Genomic DNA, 15,909 nt, shown 5'->3' with positions numbered 1-15,909 from the left:
TATCTGCCCTGGCATGCTTATACTGGTCCAAGTAAGCATTAGGTCACAGCCTGTTCCTCTTCCTTATTTGAAGGTGTTTTTACCTTTCTCAGCATTCCACCAGTTACTTCCTCTTTCCTTTGTTCCCCTCTACCTTTGCCTCTTTTAAAAAGTTCTAAGTTGCTAGCCAATCGAGACAAATACAGAATGTGAGGTCCCGCTCCAGCCAGTGGAAACCAGACACAGCAGTAGGGAGGACGCGTCAGGTTATAAATGACCCTGTCTCCTTTGTTCAATGCACTCTCATGGCAAAACTGCTGATGAGTGTACCCTTTCTGCAAGAAGTAAAAATGGCCTTACTAAATAAATTAAATTCATGTTCAAGTGCTATTTCTTTACCGCACCAAGGAAGAAACATTTCAAACAGCATCTGTCTGTGCAATCCAATCAAGCAGACAGTAAAACTGTTTCCTTTTCCTTTTCCAAATTTAAGATAAATGGAAAGAAAGAATTTATTTATTTATTTAGAATCAGCTCTGTTGCCCAGGCTGGAGTGCAGCGGGACAGTCATGGCTCACTGCAGACTTAACCTCCTGGACTCGAGGGATCCTCCTGCCTCAGCTTCCTGTGTAGCTGGGACCATAGGTGCACTCCACCATTCCCTGCTAACTTTTTGATTTTTTTGTAGAGATGGAGTCTCAGTTGTTGAGGCTGGCCTCAAACTCCTGTGTTACTGGAAAGGGGTCCCAATCTAGACCCCAAGAGAGGGTTACTGGACCTCCCACAAGAAAGAATACAGGGCGAGTCCATAGAGTAAAGTAAAAGCAAGTTTATTAGGGAAGTAAAAGAAACAAAAGAATGGCTACTGCATAGGTACAGCCGTGGTGTGAGCTGCTCAACCGAGTATACCTACAGTTATTTCTTGATTGTATGCTAAACAAGGGGTGAATTATTCATGAGTTTTCCGGGAAAGAGGACTGGATTTCCAGGAACTGAGGGTTCCTCCCCACTTTCAGACCATATAGGGTAACTTCTGGATGTTGCCATGGTATTTGTAAACTGTGGTGGTGCTGGTGGGAGTGTCTTTTAACACGCTAATGCCTTATAATAAGTATCACATAATGAGCAGTGAGGATTACCAGAGGTCACTTTCATCAGCATCCTGGTTCTGGTGGGTTTTGGCCGGCTTCTTTACCACATCCTGCTTTATCAGTGGGGTTGTTGTGACCTGTATCTTGTGCTGACCTCCTAACTCATCCTGTGACTAAGAATGCCTAAGCTCCTGGGAGCCCAGCAGTTCTCAGCTTTTTTTTACCCAGCCCATCTTCAAGATGGAGTCCCTCTTGTTCAAATATATCTGACATCTGGACTCAAGGAATCCTCCTGCCTTGGCCTCCCAAAGTACTGGAATTACAGGGTGAGCCACTGCACCCAGCCAAGAAAAGCATTTATACAGGCTAATTTTAGACACACAAACGCTGGTTTATTTTTGGTATGACTATTTCATGTTGTCTGATCTTTTTCCTTTCAGAAACATTCTTTTTTTTCCTGTGTCTCTGTCTTGCTGTCATAAAGATTCCCTCTCATCTTGCTTAATATCTTTTATGTCAGGCTCTCAAGAGCCTGACTTGTGACCAAGTGGGGAGCACTCTTGCTTGGTCTCTACCAACCCGGGGAGTGGTTGGGGGAGTGGCATGACTTTTGGGACTTTTGGGTCATGTGTGTTGGTCAGTTGTATTAGTCCATTTTCACTCTGCTTACAAAGACATACCCAAGACTGGGAAGAAAAAGAGGTTTAATTGGACTTACAGTTCCACATGGGCTGGGGAAGCCTCAGAATCATGGCAAAGGGCAAAAGCCACTTCTTACATGGCAGCAGCAAGAGAAAATGAGGAAGAAGCAAAAGTAGAAACCCCTGATAAATCCATCAGATCTTGTGAGACTTATTCACTATCACGAGAATAGCATTGAAAAGACCAGCCCCCGTGATTCAATTACTTCCCCTTGGGTCCCTCCCACAACATGTGGGAAATCTGAGAGGTACAATTCAAGTTAAGATTTGGGTAGAGGCATGGCAAAACCATATCATTCCACCCCTGGTGGCTCCAAATCTCATGTCCTCACATTTCAAAACCAATCATGCCTTCCCAACAGTCCCCCAAAGTCTTAACTCATTTCAGCATTAACCCAAAAGTCCATAGTCCAAAGCCTCATCTGAGAAAAGGAAAGTCCCTTCCACCTATGAGCCTGTAAAATCAAAAGTCAACTGGTTACTTCCTAGATACAATGGGGGTACTGGTATTGGGTGAATACAGCCGTTCCAAATGGGGGAAATTGGCCAAAACAAAGGGGTTACAGGGCCCATTCAAGTCTGAAATCCAGCAAGGCAGTCAAATTTTAAAGCTCCCAAAATGATCTCCTTTGACTCCAGGTCTCACATCCAGGTCACACTACTGCAAGTGGTGGGTTCCCATGGTCTTGGGCAGCTCTGCCTCTGTGGCTTTGCAGGATACAGCCTCCCTCCCGGCTGCTTTCATAGGATGGTGTTGAGTGTCTGCAGCTTTTCCAGGTGCATGGTGGAAGGTGTTGGTGGATCTAGCATTCTGAGGTCTGGAGGATGGTAGCCCTTTTCTCACAGCTTCACTAGGTGGTGCCCCAGTAGGGACTCTGTGTGGGGGCTCCCACCCCACATTTCCCTTCTGCATTGCCCTAGCATAGGTTCTCCATCGGGGCCCCACCCCTGCAGCAAACTTCTGCCTGGGCATCCAGGCATTTCCATATGCCCTTTGAAATCTAGGCAGAGGTTCTCAAACCTCAATTCTTGACTTCTGTGCACCCACAGGCTCAACACCACATGGAAGCTGCCAAAGCTTGGGGCTTCCACCCTCTTCTACCCTCTGAAGCCACAGCCTGAGCTGTACATTGGTCTCTTTCAGCTGGGACACAGGGCACCAAGTCCCCAGGCTGCACACAGCCTGGAGACACTGGGCCTAGCCCACAAAACCACTTTTTCCTCTGGGCCTCCAGGCCTGTGATGGGAGGGGCTGCCATAAAGGTCTCTGACATGGCCTGGAGACATTTTCCCCATGGTCTTGGGGATTAACATTAGGCTCCTTGCTACTTACTTGCAAATTTCTGTAGCCAGCTTGAATTTCTCCCCAGAAAATGGGTTTTTCTTTTCTCTTACATTGTCAGGCCACGAATTTTCCAAACTTTCATGCTCTGTTTCCCTTTTAAAACTGAAGGCTTTTAGCAGCACCCAAGTCACCTCTGGAATGCTTTGCTGCTTAGAAATTTTTTCCATCAGATACCCTAAACCATCTCTCTCAAGTTCAAAGTTCCACAAATCTCTAGGGCAGGGGCAAAGTGCCTTCATTCTCTTTGCTAAAACATAACAAGAGTCAGCCAGACTCGGTGGCTCACGCCTGTAATCCCTGCACTTTGGGAGGCCAACGTGGGTGGATCACCTGAGGTCAGGAGTTTGAAAACAGCCTGGCTAACATGGCAAAACACAGTCTCTACTAAAAATAGAAAAATTAGCGGGGAATGGTGGCGCACACCTGTAATCCCAGGTACTCGGGAGGCAGAGGCAGGAGAATTGCTTGAACTTAGGAGGCGGAGGTTGCAGTGAGCCGAGATGGCACCACTGCACTCCAGTCTGGGCAACAGCCAGTTCCCAACAAGTTCCTCATCTCCATCTGAGACCACATCAGCCTAGACCTTATTGTTCATATCACTATCAGTACTTTCGTCAAAGCCATTCAACAAGTCTCTAGGTAGTTCCAAACTTTCCCACATTTTCCTGCTTCTTCTGAGCCCTCCAACCTCTGCCTGTTACCCAGTTCCAAAGTTGCTTCCACATTTTCAGGCATCTTTTCAGCAATGCCCCCCTCTACTGGTACCAATTTACTATATTAGTCTGTTTTCATGCTGCTTACAAAGACATACCCGAGACTGAGAAGAAAAAGAGATTTAATAGGACTTACAGTTCCGCATGGTTGGGGAGGCCTCAGAATCATGGCGGAGGGCGAAAGGCATGTCTTCCATGGCGGCGGCAAGAGAAAATGAGGAAGAAACAGAAGCAGAAACCCCTGATAAACCCATCAGATCCCATGAGACTTATTCACTATCATGAGAATAGCATGGGAAAGACCAGCCCCCTATGATTCAATTACCTCCCCCTGGGTCCCTCCCACAATACGTGGGAAATCTGGGGGATACAATTCAAGTGGAGATTTGGGTGGGGGCACAGCCAAACCACATCACCAGTCTAAAAAGACTGGGAACCCCCTGACAAGTAAGATACTAAGCAGCACACTCTGCTCTGAATGTGCCGAGCACTCAAGGTCATTTGTATTAAGTCCCATACATAAGGGACTTTTGTCATGGCAATGCTTGTTTGTCCCTGTTAGTCCTGGGAAAGTCCAATCACAGGAGTTATCACAGATTAACAGGTCTGTGGCTGGCAGCCTCTCACAAATTTGTGGGATACTTAAGGCACCCCATGAGTAAACACCATCCTTAGCTGTCTATGGCAGCAAGCCTCTTGCTAGCTTAGCCTATTTCTTTTTTGAGACAGAGTCTCGCTCTGTCACCAGGCTGGAGTGCAGTGGCATGATCTCGGCTCACTGCAACCTCTGCCTCCCAGGTTCAAGTGATTCTCCTGCCTCAATCTCCTAAGTAGCTGGGATTACAGGCATGCGCCACCACATCTGGCTAATTTTTTGTTATTTTCAGTAGAGATGGGGTTTCACCATGTTGGCCAGGCTGGTCTTGAACTCCTGACCTCAGGTGACCTACCTGCCTCAGCCTCCCAAAGTGCTAGGATACAGGTGTGAGCCACCAGGCCCGGCTATCTTAGCCTATTTCTGAGAATGTGTTTTTTGGGAAGGATCATAGGAGGGGGTGCATCTTCTGCACTCATTTTATTTTATTTATTTTATTTTATTTTTTGAGATAGAGTCTCGCTCTGTCTCCCAGGCTGGAGTGCAGTGGCATGATCTCGGCTCACTGTAAACTCCGCCTCCTGGGTTCACGCCATTCTCCTGCCTCAGCCTCCCGAGTAGCTGGGACTACAGGCGCCTGCCACCATGCCCAGCTGATTTTTTGTACTTTTAGTAGAGATGGGGTTTCACCATGTTAGCCAATATGGTCTCGATCTCCTGACCTTGTGATCCGCCTGCTTCGGCCTCCCAAATTGCTGGGATTACAGGCGTGAGCCACCGCACCCGGCCCATTCATTTTAAATACACCACAAACACCTATGCTCTTCTAAACCTGGAAAGCTACCTCCAGAACTTTCCATAAAAAAATGATTATTGGTTTGAGTCACTTATGGAATAAATAAATTGGCTGGAATCAACCTAGGTGCCCATCAACAGTGGATTGGATAAAATGTGGTACGTATACACTACGGAATACGACACAGCCATAAAAAGCAACAAAACTGTGTTCTTTGCAGCAATGTGGATGCAGCTGGAGGCCATTATCTTAAGTGAACTAACGCAGAAACAGAAAATCAAATACTGCATGTTCTCACATTTTTTTTCTTTTTTTTGAGACGGAGTTTCACTCTTGTTACCCAGGCTGGAGTACAATGGTGTGATCTCGGCTCACTGCAACCTCGGCCTCCCAGGTTCAAGTGATTCTCCTGCCTCAGCCTCCCAACTAGCTGGGACTACAGGCATGCGCCACTACGCCTGGCTAGTTTTGTATTTTTAGTAGAGACAAGGTTTCTCCATGTTGGTCAGGCTGGTCTTGAACTCCCAATCTCAGGTGATCCGCCTGCCTTTGCCTCCCAAAGTGCTGGGATTACAGGCGTGAGCCACCGCACCCGGCCACATTCTCACTTATAAGCGGAAGCTAAACGTTGGATACACATGGACATAAAGATGGAAACAATAGTCACTGGGACCTGCTAGAGCAGGGAGAGTAGGAAAGTAGGAGAGTGAGAGAGGGGAGAGGAGAAGGGGAGAGTGAGAGAGGGGGAGAGGAGAAGGGGAGAGAGAGAGAGGGGGAGAGGAGAAGGGGAGAGTGAGAGAGGGGAGAGGAGAAGGGGAGAGTGAGAGAGGGGAGAGGAGAAGGGGAGAGTGAGAGAGGGGGAGAGGAGAAGGGGAGAGAGAGAGAGGGGGAGAGGAGAAGGGGAGAGGTGGAGGGAGAGGGGGACAAGAGTTGAAAAAGTACCTATCGGGTACTATCCTCACTACCTGGGTGAAAGGATGCTTTGCACCCCAAACCTCAGCATCATGCAATATACCCATGTAACAAATCCACACATGTATCCCCTGAATCTAAAATAAAAGTTGAAATTTTGAAAAAACATAATAAATAAGTTAAAAAGTTATATTTTAAAAGAAAACTTTTTAGAGAGCTCTTGTCTCTTTTTTTTTTTTTTTTGAGACAAGGTCTCACTCTGTCGCCCAGGCTGGACTGCAGTGGCGCAATCTCTGCTCACTGCAACTTCAGCCTCCCGGGTTCAAGCAATTCTCCTGCCTCAGCCTCCCCAGTGGCTGAGATTACAGGTGCGCACCACTATGCCCAGGTAATTTTTTTTTTTTTTTTTTTGTATTTTTAGTGGAGACAGGGTTTCACCATCTTGGCTAGCTGGCCTCGAACTGCTGACCTCAGGTGATCCATCTGCCTCAGCCTCCCAAAGTGCTGGGATTACAGATGTGAGCCACCGCGCCCGGCCACTAAGAGCTCTTGTCTTAAACAGCTTTCTTATTGGTACCTATGAAAAGACACAAAAGGAATATATAGCCTTAGAAACTCCCTTAGCAGGATTTCTTTTTTTAAGGCAGAAATCAGATTTACAACTAAGTTATAAATCCTTTGTGTAGCTGGATTCACTGATTTATGCCTGTAATCCCAACACTTCGGGAGGTCAAGGAAGGCTTGCTTGAGCCTAGGAGTTTGAGAACAGACTGGGCAACATAGGGAGATCCCATCTCTACAAAATAAATAAACAAATAAATGAGTCAGGCATCGTGACACACGCCTGTGGTCCCAGCTACTCAGCCAGGGGTAGGCAGGAGGACTGCTTGAGCCTAGGAGGTTGAGGCTGCAGTAAACCATGAGCACACCACACTGCACGCCAGCCTGGGTGACAGAACGAGACTTTGTCTCAAACAAATATATATATATGATATAAAAAATATATATTTCTAACATGTATATGTTATATATGTATAATATATATCACATATAATATATATGTCACATATATAATATATATATCACATATATAATATATATGTCACATATATAATATATATGTCACATATATATATATATATATATATATATATATATATATATATATATATAGTGCGCCCAAGCTGCCTGTTTTGGATCCCCCTGGGATTTACAAAGAAGACGGGCCACCCTAATCTAGGGCCTGGGTTCCATGCTTTCACCACCACAGCCTGGATTTGATTCCCAGTCAGGAAACCAGACTCTTGGAAATGCAAATCTTTTAACTCAGGACAAAACAAATAGAAACATTTGTAAAAAGTTAGTTTGGTATTTGCATAACTCTGACCTTTTGGGGTACCCTTTCACTTTGCAATCCTGTCTATTCCCACAGACAGCTTTTGACTTCCCATCTTACAAACTGCCATGCAATCTTCCGTCTGTGGGAGATACGGGTTGTCAGGCCTTTGTGTGCAGTCAGCCAGCTGAGAGGCTGAAACCCTAGATAATATGGCCAGACAGTAGCCCCATTTGCAGCTACTAAAATTCTCCTTTATTTGAGCTGCCTGGAGTGGTCTGGATCTGAGCAGGGTTGCAACTTTTGCCTCCTCTCTGGAGACCTTGGTGAAAGCCGTGAAAGGCTTCTTGGTTCTGGTCTCCTTGGTGCTTATTTCACTTGGCGTTGAGTCATTTGTTCAGGTATACCTTTGATAGAAAACTGGTTTGTATTTAGAGTGTGATAGCAACTTTTTTCTTTTGTCTCGCTTCCTCCCGTGGGCAGAAGAGACGTGTGTCTCCCACCACTGCTGGGAAGCTGAAGAGAGGCAGGGCTCCTCCCATGAGCAGAGCGGGTGGGAGCGCTCCACAGCCGAAATTCTTTCCACTCCAGTGTTAGGCCACGTGCTCATGAAACAGAAAGCTTGCTGCTTGTGTATTTTCAACACACCCTTCTGCTTTTTCTTTTTTCTTTTAGTTTTTGGGGGATTTTTCCCTGGCAGATATATAGAGCAATGCTTTTTCTCTTTGGATCCTGTTCCTACCCTGGGAATTCTTTTCAGTCAACTGAAATTTTGTTAAAAAGCAATTTTATGTTCCTTCCATCTGTTCACTTTTTTGTTGTTGTTGTTGTCGGCATGATTTTTACTGAGAAAAATGTAAAACATCCTTGGCCTTTTTGGGAAGTTTAAAATCTTCCCAAATTGAGCCCTCTAAGAATTGTTTTCCCATTTACTGTTGGCCCTTCTTCCTTTCTGCCACCTTCAATAACACACGAAGAAATCAAGAGGGAACTTCTAGCAGTCCTGAGACCCCTTGAGAAACCAGAAAAAGGTGCCATACACCCTCCTTTTGGGGGTCTTTTGTCTTCCTCACGGAGCCCCAAGGGTCATGGGCAGGTTACTCTCAAGTCTAAAGCGCCGCAGTCTTTTGCATTGAGTTCCCTGATATTTTCATTTTTTTGAGACACAGTCTGTCTCTGTCACCTAGGCAGGGGTGCAGTGGTGCATTTGTGAGAAACACACTCACCCATCCAAACCCAAAGAATGGACTTAGAGGCACAAAGAACAGCGAAAGGGAGACTTTTCATAACGGTCTTGCGAGATCGGGTGTCTGGTGAGCAGGCACAACCAGGGCGGTCACAACGGGTAATTTATGTCCTAGCACACAAGTCCCTCCCCCAGTTCCTCACTGGTTGAGTACTGTGGGGTTACAATCTTCCCGGACATCGCCTAACTTTCATTATCCCCCTTACAAAGTTATACCCCGTCCTCTTCCCCACTTAAGTTTTGATTTCCCCATAACAAAACTTTCTTCCCTTTTATGAGCTGACCACACCTCTACATTCTGTCCACTTACTGTGACCTTCTGGGTGCATGAGCCATGTGGTTTCTTACATTTGCAGGCTGGCTGCCAGTGCTTAGACTTATCATGCCTTGCAAATGGACCATTTAAAAGGTTTTCTCACCAATTCCCTCCTCTTTTCTATTTACTTATTTTGTTCTCATTTTCTTTTAAACCCTTTTGGGCCGTGAATCGCTCCAGAAGTTGTTTACTTTCTTCCTCATAGGAGAGTGAGTTTAATTTGCTTTCTAATAGTGGCAGGTTATTTTGCTGGTAAGTCATGGGCATTTGTTTATTAATAGCTGTTTTAATTAATTTCTGTGCTAGTCCCCTCACACAAGGGATAATACAACATTCCACTGCTATTAAGAATCCTGCCACAATTATGAGAGATATAAGGATTGAAGCTACCATTCCTTTCCATTTTCCAAATCAGCCTTCTAGCCAACCCGTAAATGGGTCATTAATTCCGAGCATTTCTTCCAGTTCGTTGGCTAGAGTTGTTAGTCCTTGTAAAGCTTTTGTGATGGTCCCATTTGGGGCAGTATTGCTGGGAATGAAAGTACAAAATTTCCCGCCCAGCATAACACACACGCTCCCTTTTTCTCTAGTATCATGTCTAGCGCAAGTCTGTTTTCCCAGGCCATTTAGCTGGTGGCATCTAACTGGCTAGCCACCCTTTGAGGGCATCCCAAGTATAATTGATGAATTCCTGTTGATTATAATAGATGGAGTTAATTTAATTCGCATTCTTCTTAATAGTTGACCAGCAGAAGTGTCCTGACTTTAAACCCAGCACCTACTGCGTTTCAGGCCTTCAATTTATTAGGCAACCCTACCCCCACCAGGGTCTCCTATTGAGTCAACATACACATTGGGATTAAAAGAATTTGTGAAATCTCTCTGGTTTCAGTGGCCATGTGTATTTTGGGGTATCTTATGGGATGCCAGGGTGAAGGGAATGGCCAATGAGACTAAAGCACAAGTCCTGGTCCCATTGGACAGTAACAGGTTACGTAGGTTCCTTTTCCCATAATACTACCAGACATCAGCCCGGGGTGTATGGAGAGCTGAGTAATTGCCATTGCTCAACTCACCAGTGACGTTTAGGATGTGGGTACAAGTTGAGAGTTCTCCCATAGGCTTATGGAACTCTGCCCCCTGTCTAGAGAGGCAAGAGGAGTAGTTCATGTTCTCTGCAGAGAACGAGGGTATTGCTCTGGGATCTGAGCTCCGCAATGCAGGAAACAGCAATGAAAGACTCTTACAAGTCTTACTTCTCCTTACTTATATCATTGTGCTGGTATGCAGCCAACATGCAACACATTCCTCTAGAATCACTATTCCATCCCAGGGGAAACGGAACCACCTGCGCCTGAGGTGGTCCTGCAGCACACGCGTAGCAGTTACTTTTGCTGAGGGCTTGTACCGAAAATATGACCCATTTGACCCAGGCATTCACATCCCTATACCCTGTCTCAATTTCTAAGGTTTGCCTTAAATCCTTTACCTCAATTATTGTTACCATTTTAGGGTTAATATTTGGTAGACTAAAGTGTTTATTAGGGTCTGGGGTTGGAGTAGTTCCAGGCAAATGGGAGGTTGAGTTCTTGATTAGCCTGAGATCAAATCGACCTGGGGGTCTTTCCTTGTGATGTCTTCTCCTAACCCATATACCTGAGATGCTACTTTTGGTTCTTGGTCTAGAAAGGCTGAATTGTCAAGGGTGATGAGTATAGGATGGCATTCTAAATTCTGGCAGTTATTTGGTGGGGAGCGCTTGGACAGAGGTAGTTTATGCTTCAAGGGTTTCCAGTTTGGAGTTACCCACACCATGTTTACTGTCCAACCCTGAAATTGGGTAGCGCACCATACATCCTCCCAGCTGGGGAAGGGTGATGCCCTACTGCAACCTGCATCTGGTTCAAGGCAAAGAGATTTATCTGCCTGCGAGAGCTGTCTCTGATTTTCTAAATTCCCACAAGGTAAAACCTGACAGGCATCAAATCTTATAGTTTGGGGTGCTACCGTCTTAATCATATTAATCACCAACCTGATTGAGCAGTGGGGAGTCCCCTGCCAGTTTCCATTTTGACCTTCTGCTCTTTGTATACTAACCCATCCCAGCCTTATTACCTTTCAGAAATGCAGCCAGCCCACGCTTTCTTTCTAAATTTTTCTCAGAGTTAACTTTAAGTGTTCGTCAGGTGACCCATGCACTTCCCACTGTTCTTTCTCCTTCCCTTTCCAGGTCTCTTTTACCGGCCTCTTGATTCCAGTGTAGTGAGTCCACCCCCATTCAGCTGTTCGCAGGGCTGTCTCAGGGGCAGAGGCACTTGACAGGGACCTTCCCAGCTTGGGTGGAGCTTGTCTTCTTTCCAAATCTTAGTCAGCACCAAGTTGCCAGGCTGGAAGTAGTGAACCATGAACTCAAGAGGCAGAGCTTGCGTCAGAAGACCTTTTAACCTGAGGGATGACAGGGTGGAAGATATGGCCAGTATATCATTTCTTAAGAATTGGTTTTTGGTTTCCATAGTGGGAGGATCTGTAGCCCTGCCCAAATATGGGAGTCCATATAATAACTTGTAGGGGACAATCCCAAGTCTTTTCTGGGGACTGTCCGAATCCTAATCCTAAAGCCATGGGAGATATTTGGTCCAAGGCACTTTAGTTTCTAAGTTTAGTTTGGTGAGATGCTTTTTGAGAGTTTGGTTTATTCTTTTTACCTTTCCACAGGATGCCAAGGGGTGGGATAATCCCATCAAATTTGTAAACCTTCCATAATTCCCCTTAACACTCTTGAAATAGCTTCCTTTCTAATCTCGTGCGGTTCAAAGAAATCACTTCTCTTTTAACAAAGGGTAGCCTGAAAGTTCAGGCTATAAACTACAGATAAACAACTTAAGCATAGAAGGAGGCGGGGGATGTCTCCTGGGTAAACACCAAACTTCACACTCCCACAGTCGGGCCCAGTATAAACAGTGGGCCTTAATAAGCACATTCCTTTCCCTTTAGGCACATTAAGATAGGGAAGCTAAAGCTGACTGGGATGGGGGGGCGGTGGGAGATGCCTGCAGCTGCAAAAAGATGGCTGGGAATAGACACAGAATCTCTCCCTCCCAGATAAGCAACACAAAGAATTAGAGTATTGGCCAGGCACAGGCTCAAGCGTGTAATCCCAGTACTTTGGGAGGCTGAGGCGGGTGGATTACCTGAGGTCAGGAGTTCCAGACCAGCCTGGCCAATGTGGTGAAAGCCCATCTCTACTAAAACTACAAAAAGAAATTTGCTGGGTGTGGTGGCACGCACCCAGCTACTCAGGAGGCTGAGGCAGAAGAATTGCTTGAACCCGGGAGGTGGAGGGTGCAGTGAGCTGAGATCATGCCATTGCACTCCAGCCTGGATGACAAGAGTGAAACTCCATCTCAAAAAAAAAAGTATTATATGGTGACATGCAGGGTTCTAACAGTCCATTTTTAATTAATCCCTCTATTACTGGTTGGAGATCTTTTCTCCCTTCAACAGAAATGGGATATTGTTTTCTGCAAACTCCTCCTGGTTGTTTTAGTCCAATCTGTAAGGCTGTGATTCTTAAGTGTCCCCGCTTGCCTTTCCCAAACCACAAAACGGGACTAATTTTTCTTCCCTCCTCCTCTGTTAGGAGGCCCATCCTTACTTTCATTTGTCCTTTCTGTGTATCCCTAATCCTAAACTGAATCTCACAATCAGGTCTCTACCCACTAGGTTAGTTCCTGCTTCAGGAATATATAAGAGTGACCCCTCAATGTGTTCTGGTCCCAGTCTAATTAACATTGTCTTGAATATCAGAACCTGTAATCCCTCCCCTTTTACGCCTAATACTTTCAGTTTTTCCTTAGAGAGTTCTGTACCCTTTGGTTTGTGGATTAGGGAGGAGTGAGCTGCCCCAGTGTCAACCAAAAATGTCACTTCTTCTCCCTAAGGTCCCGCCTTCCAATTTATCAAGGGTTCTTGGTGGGACCTACTCAGAAGGAAGCCCTGACCCCCATTGTATTCATCAACGGTCATGAGGGGGATCATCTCTTCTTCTTTTTTCCATTGAGGACATTCTCTCTTAAGATGCCCTGGCTTTCCACACTTGTAACATCTAGCCACTCATAGTCTTAGGAGGTTTCCCCTGCATTTCCTTTCTTTCTCTGTGTCGAAATCTATCATTCCCTTGTCTCATTTGAGGGGGATCTTGAGCTAATCTTTTTTTGGCTACCTCTTCCACAGTGGAAATCATGATGTTCCCTTTCTGTTTCTGCTTCTCTTCCCCTCTTTTCACAAAGACCTTCTGAGCTTCACTCAGTAATTCCTCAATCGGTTTCTCATTCCATCCATCAATCTTTTGTAATTTTTTTTTTTGTAATGTCAAGCCAGCTTTTAGTAACAAAGTTAATCTGCAACAGGCCTTGCCCTACTGGGTCCTCCGGATCTAATCTGGAGTATTTTCTCATCTCTGAGCCTCTGCAGGAATGTGAAGGGAGTTTTCTCTTTTTCTTGTTGAATCTCAAATGCCTTTGAGACATTTTGTGTCCTAGGAGTGTACTCTTTGATCCCTTGAATTACTAGTTTCCTGAGGTCCTGCATTTGGGCCCAGTCCCTGGGATCATTATTATCCCATTCGGGATCAACATTTGGAAATTTTTGTTTGGCTGGCAAGTCTCACTGCCCAGGAGGGTGTTGCTTCTCCCCACTGGTCATGGCCACTCTCCTAATCATTCCCCTTTCTTCTCCCGTGAACAGGATATTCATGATAGACATCATTTCAGCCCAAGTGTAAAAGCTGGGTCCTAGGAATTGGTCCAGCTGGTCTGCTAAACCCAGGGGATCTTCTAGGAGTGGTTTCATTTCCTTCTTGCAATTCCTAACTTCAGTACTTGCAAGAGGAGTGTTTACAAAGCCAATCTCTCCCTGTCCCATGGGAACTTCCCTAAGAGGGAACATGCTAGATGCCTGCTGTGTGGAAGGGATAGGGAAGTTCTCAATATCCCTCTTACACTCTTGTAATTCTTTTCTTAAATTTGGATAAGGATTTAAAGGAGCAGTTGGCTTGGCTCCCCTGTAGTCTCTGGGTCTTTCTTCCTCTAACCCTCCTGCTGCCCCTTGATCTTCCTGTCCCCTTTTTTGTGAGACGTATGAAGGGGCAAGCACGATAGGGGGTCCCAGGGCTTTTCACTGGGTGAGGGCTCTTCACCAGGCTCTTTTTCTTCTTTTTTGAGGGGGATCATGGGGGCTAATTCCTTGATTCAGCAGAGAGTAACCTATCTCTTCTTGTGAGGATGAAGTTTTATTATTCACAGAGAGAATTAAAGCTTAGAACACAATCCTCATCTGAGCCAAACTTAGGCCAAAAGACAGAAGGCTTATGAATGGGGTCTTTGGGCCAGACAAAACAGCAATACTTTATCATCTTTTCCTTTTCCTTGTCCCTGGTTCGAGGGTTGTTCCACCAAACCTGCAACAATCTCCCCAAAGGACTATCCAGGGGAATGTCAGACGGAGTCTCTTTGGCTCCCTCTTTCCTTTGGCTCCCAGGCCTAGAATTCCTGTTTCCCATTTTCTGCCAGTCTCTGCGTCTGAGTTTTTCCCTGTCTACTCAACCCCCCTTACTGGAGGTTTCTTGCACACCCCGAGACCTCCAAAAATGCCCCATGACCAAGGCAGTACTTACAGTCCAATTTTCCTTCCTTGGCTGGTGCATGAGTTTGCCTGGTTCCCGCAGTGCCTGCTTTTCTCCCTGTGTTGCTTCTGCTGCCTCCTGAATAATAGTCTTGGGTTTGTTTATGCCTTCTATGGGAAGCTGGGATGCCCAGATAGAGCGGGCCACCTAAATCAGGTGGGACACATCTCCCCTCTCGGCCAAAGTCCCACTTCACACAGGCACATGGATCCCAGATGGGCCCCCATGCTTGTGAGAAACACACTCACCTGTCCAAATCCAGAGAATGGACTTAGAGGCCTGAAGAACAGTGAAAAGGAGACATTTAGTAACGGTCTTGCAAGATCAGGTGTCTGGTGGGCAGGCACAACTGGGGCAGTCACAACAGGTAATTTATCTTCTAGCACACAAGTCCCTCCGCTAGTTCTTCATTGGTCGAGTACTATGGGGTTACGATCTTCCCGGATGTCATCTAAGTTTCATTGTCCTCCTTGTAAGGTTATACCCCAGTCTCCTTCCCTGCTTAAGTTTCTTCTTTCTTTTTCTTTTCTTTTCTTTTTCTTTTGAGACAGAATCTCACTCTGTCACCCCGGCTGGAGTGCAATGGCACAATCTTGGCAAACTGTAACCTCTGCCTCCTGGGTTCAAGCAATTCTCCTGCCTCAGCCTCCTGAGTAGCTGGGATTGCAGGCGCTTGCCACTACACCTGGCTAATTTTTGTATTTTTAGTAGAGATGGGGTTTCACCATGTTGGCCAGGCTAGTCTCGAACTCCTGACCTCAGGTGATCCACCTGCCTCAGCCTTCCGAGATGCTGGGATTACAGGTGTGAGCCACTGCGCCCAGCTCCCACTTAAGTTTTGATTTCCCTATAACGAAACTTTCTTCCCTTTTATGGACTGACCCCTTCTCTACATTCTGTTTGCTTATTGTGACCTTCTGGGTGCATGAGCCATGTGGTTTGTTACATTTACAGACTGGCTGCCAGTGCTTAGATTTATCAGGCCTTGAAAATGGACCAGTGAAAATGTTTTCTCACACAATTGAAGCAGGATATTTCCTTGACCCTTTTGTGGGCAGAAACCGGGGCGCACGGGTGCTAGAACCAGCCAGCTGCTTTGGCACCAGCAGAGGCAAACTCCATTCACTACTGCTCCACTCCTCGGAGAGGGAGCACCAGTGAGTAGGTGCAGAAGCCTGAGTGAGTGCTTTTGGGTG

At 45.9% G+C, this 15,909-nt stretch overlaps 1 long non-coding RNA gene across 3 annotated transcripts in view, besides 2 other annotated features; it reads right to left on the bottom strand.

Moving 5' to 3' along the window:
* ZNF496-DT (ZNF496 divergent transcript) overlaps window positions 1-15,909 on the bottom strand; it is a 45,179-nt gene that overhangs the window by 7,984 nt on the left and 21,286 nt on the right. The window contains exon 2 of one of the 3 annotated variants that reach the window (NR_168397.1): window positions 3,966-4,019. The exons of the other annotated variants lie outside the window; for them this stretch is intronic. This is a non-coding gene — a long non-coding RNA (ZNF496 divergent transcript). The remainder of the gene's footprint in view (window positions 1-3,965; window positions 4,020-15,909) is intronic. 3 annotated transcript variants of the gene reach the window in all.
* Window positions 6,071-6,615: an enhancer, noted in NCBI's record as "H3K4me1 hESC enhancer chr1:247525936-247526480 (GRCh37/hg19 assembly coordinates)". NCBI's record gives its function as "activates a minimal SCP1, AML or CMV promoter by ChIP-STARR-seq in naive H9 embryonic stem cells {active_cell/tissue: H9 hESC(naive)}" and the evidence as "EXISTENCE:reporter gene assay evidence [ECO:0000049][PMID:30033119]".
* Window positions 11,220-11,519: an enhancer, noted in NCBI's record as "active region_2866". NCBI's record gives its function as "activates an Ori minimal core promoter by ATAC-STARR-seq in GM12878 lymphoblastoid cells {active_cell/tissue: GM12878}" and the evidence as "EXISTENCE:reporter gene assay evidence [ECO:0000049][PMID:35858748]".

Source organism: Homo sapiens, chromosome 1 (genome assembly GCF_000001405.40).
Source record: "Homo sapiens chromosome 1, GRCh38.p14 Primary Assembly".
Lineage (NCBI taxonomy): Eukaryota > Metazoa > Chordata > Mammalia > Primates > Hominidae > Homo > Homo sapiens.
This window is presented reverse-complemented; position numbering and strand designations above follow the sequence as displayed.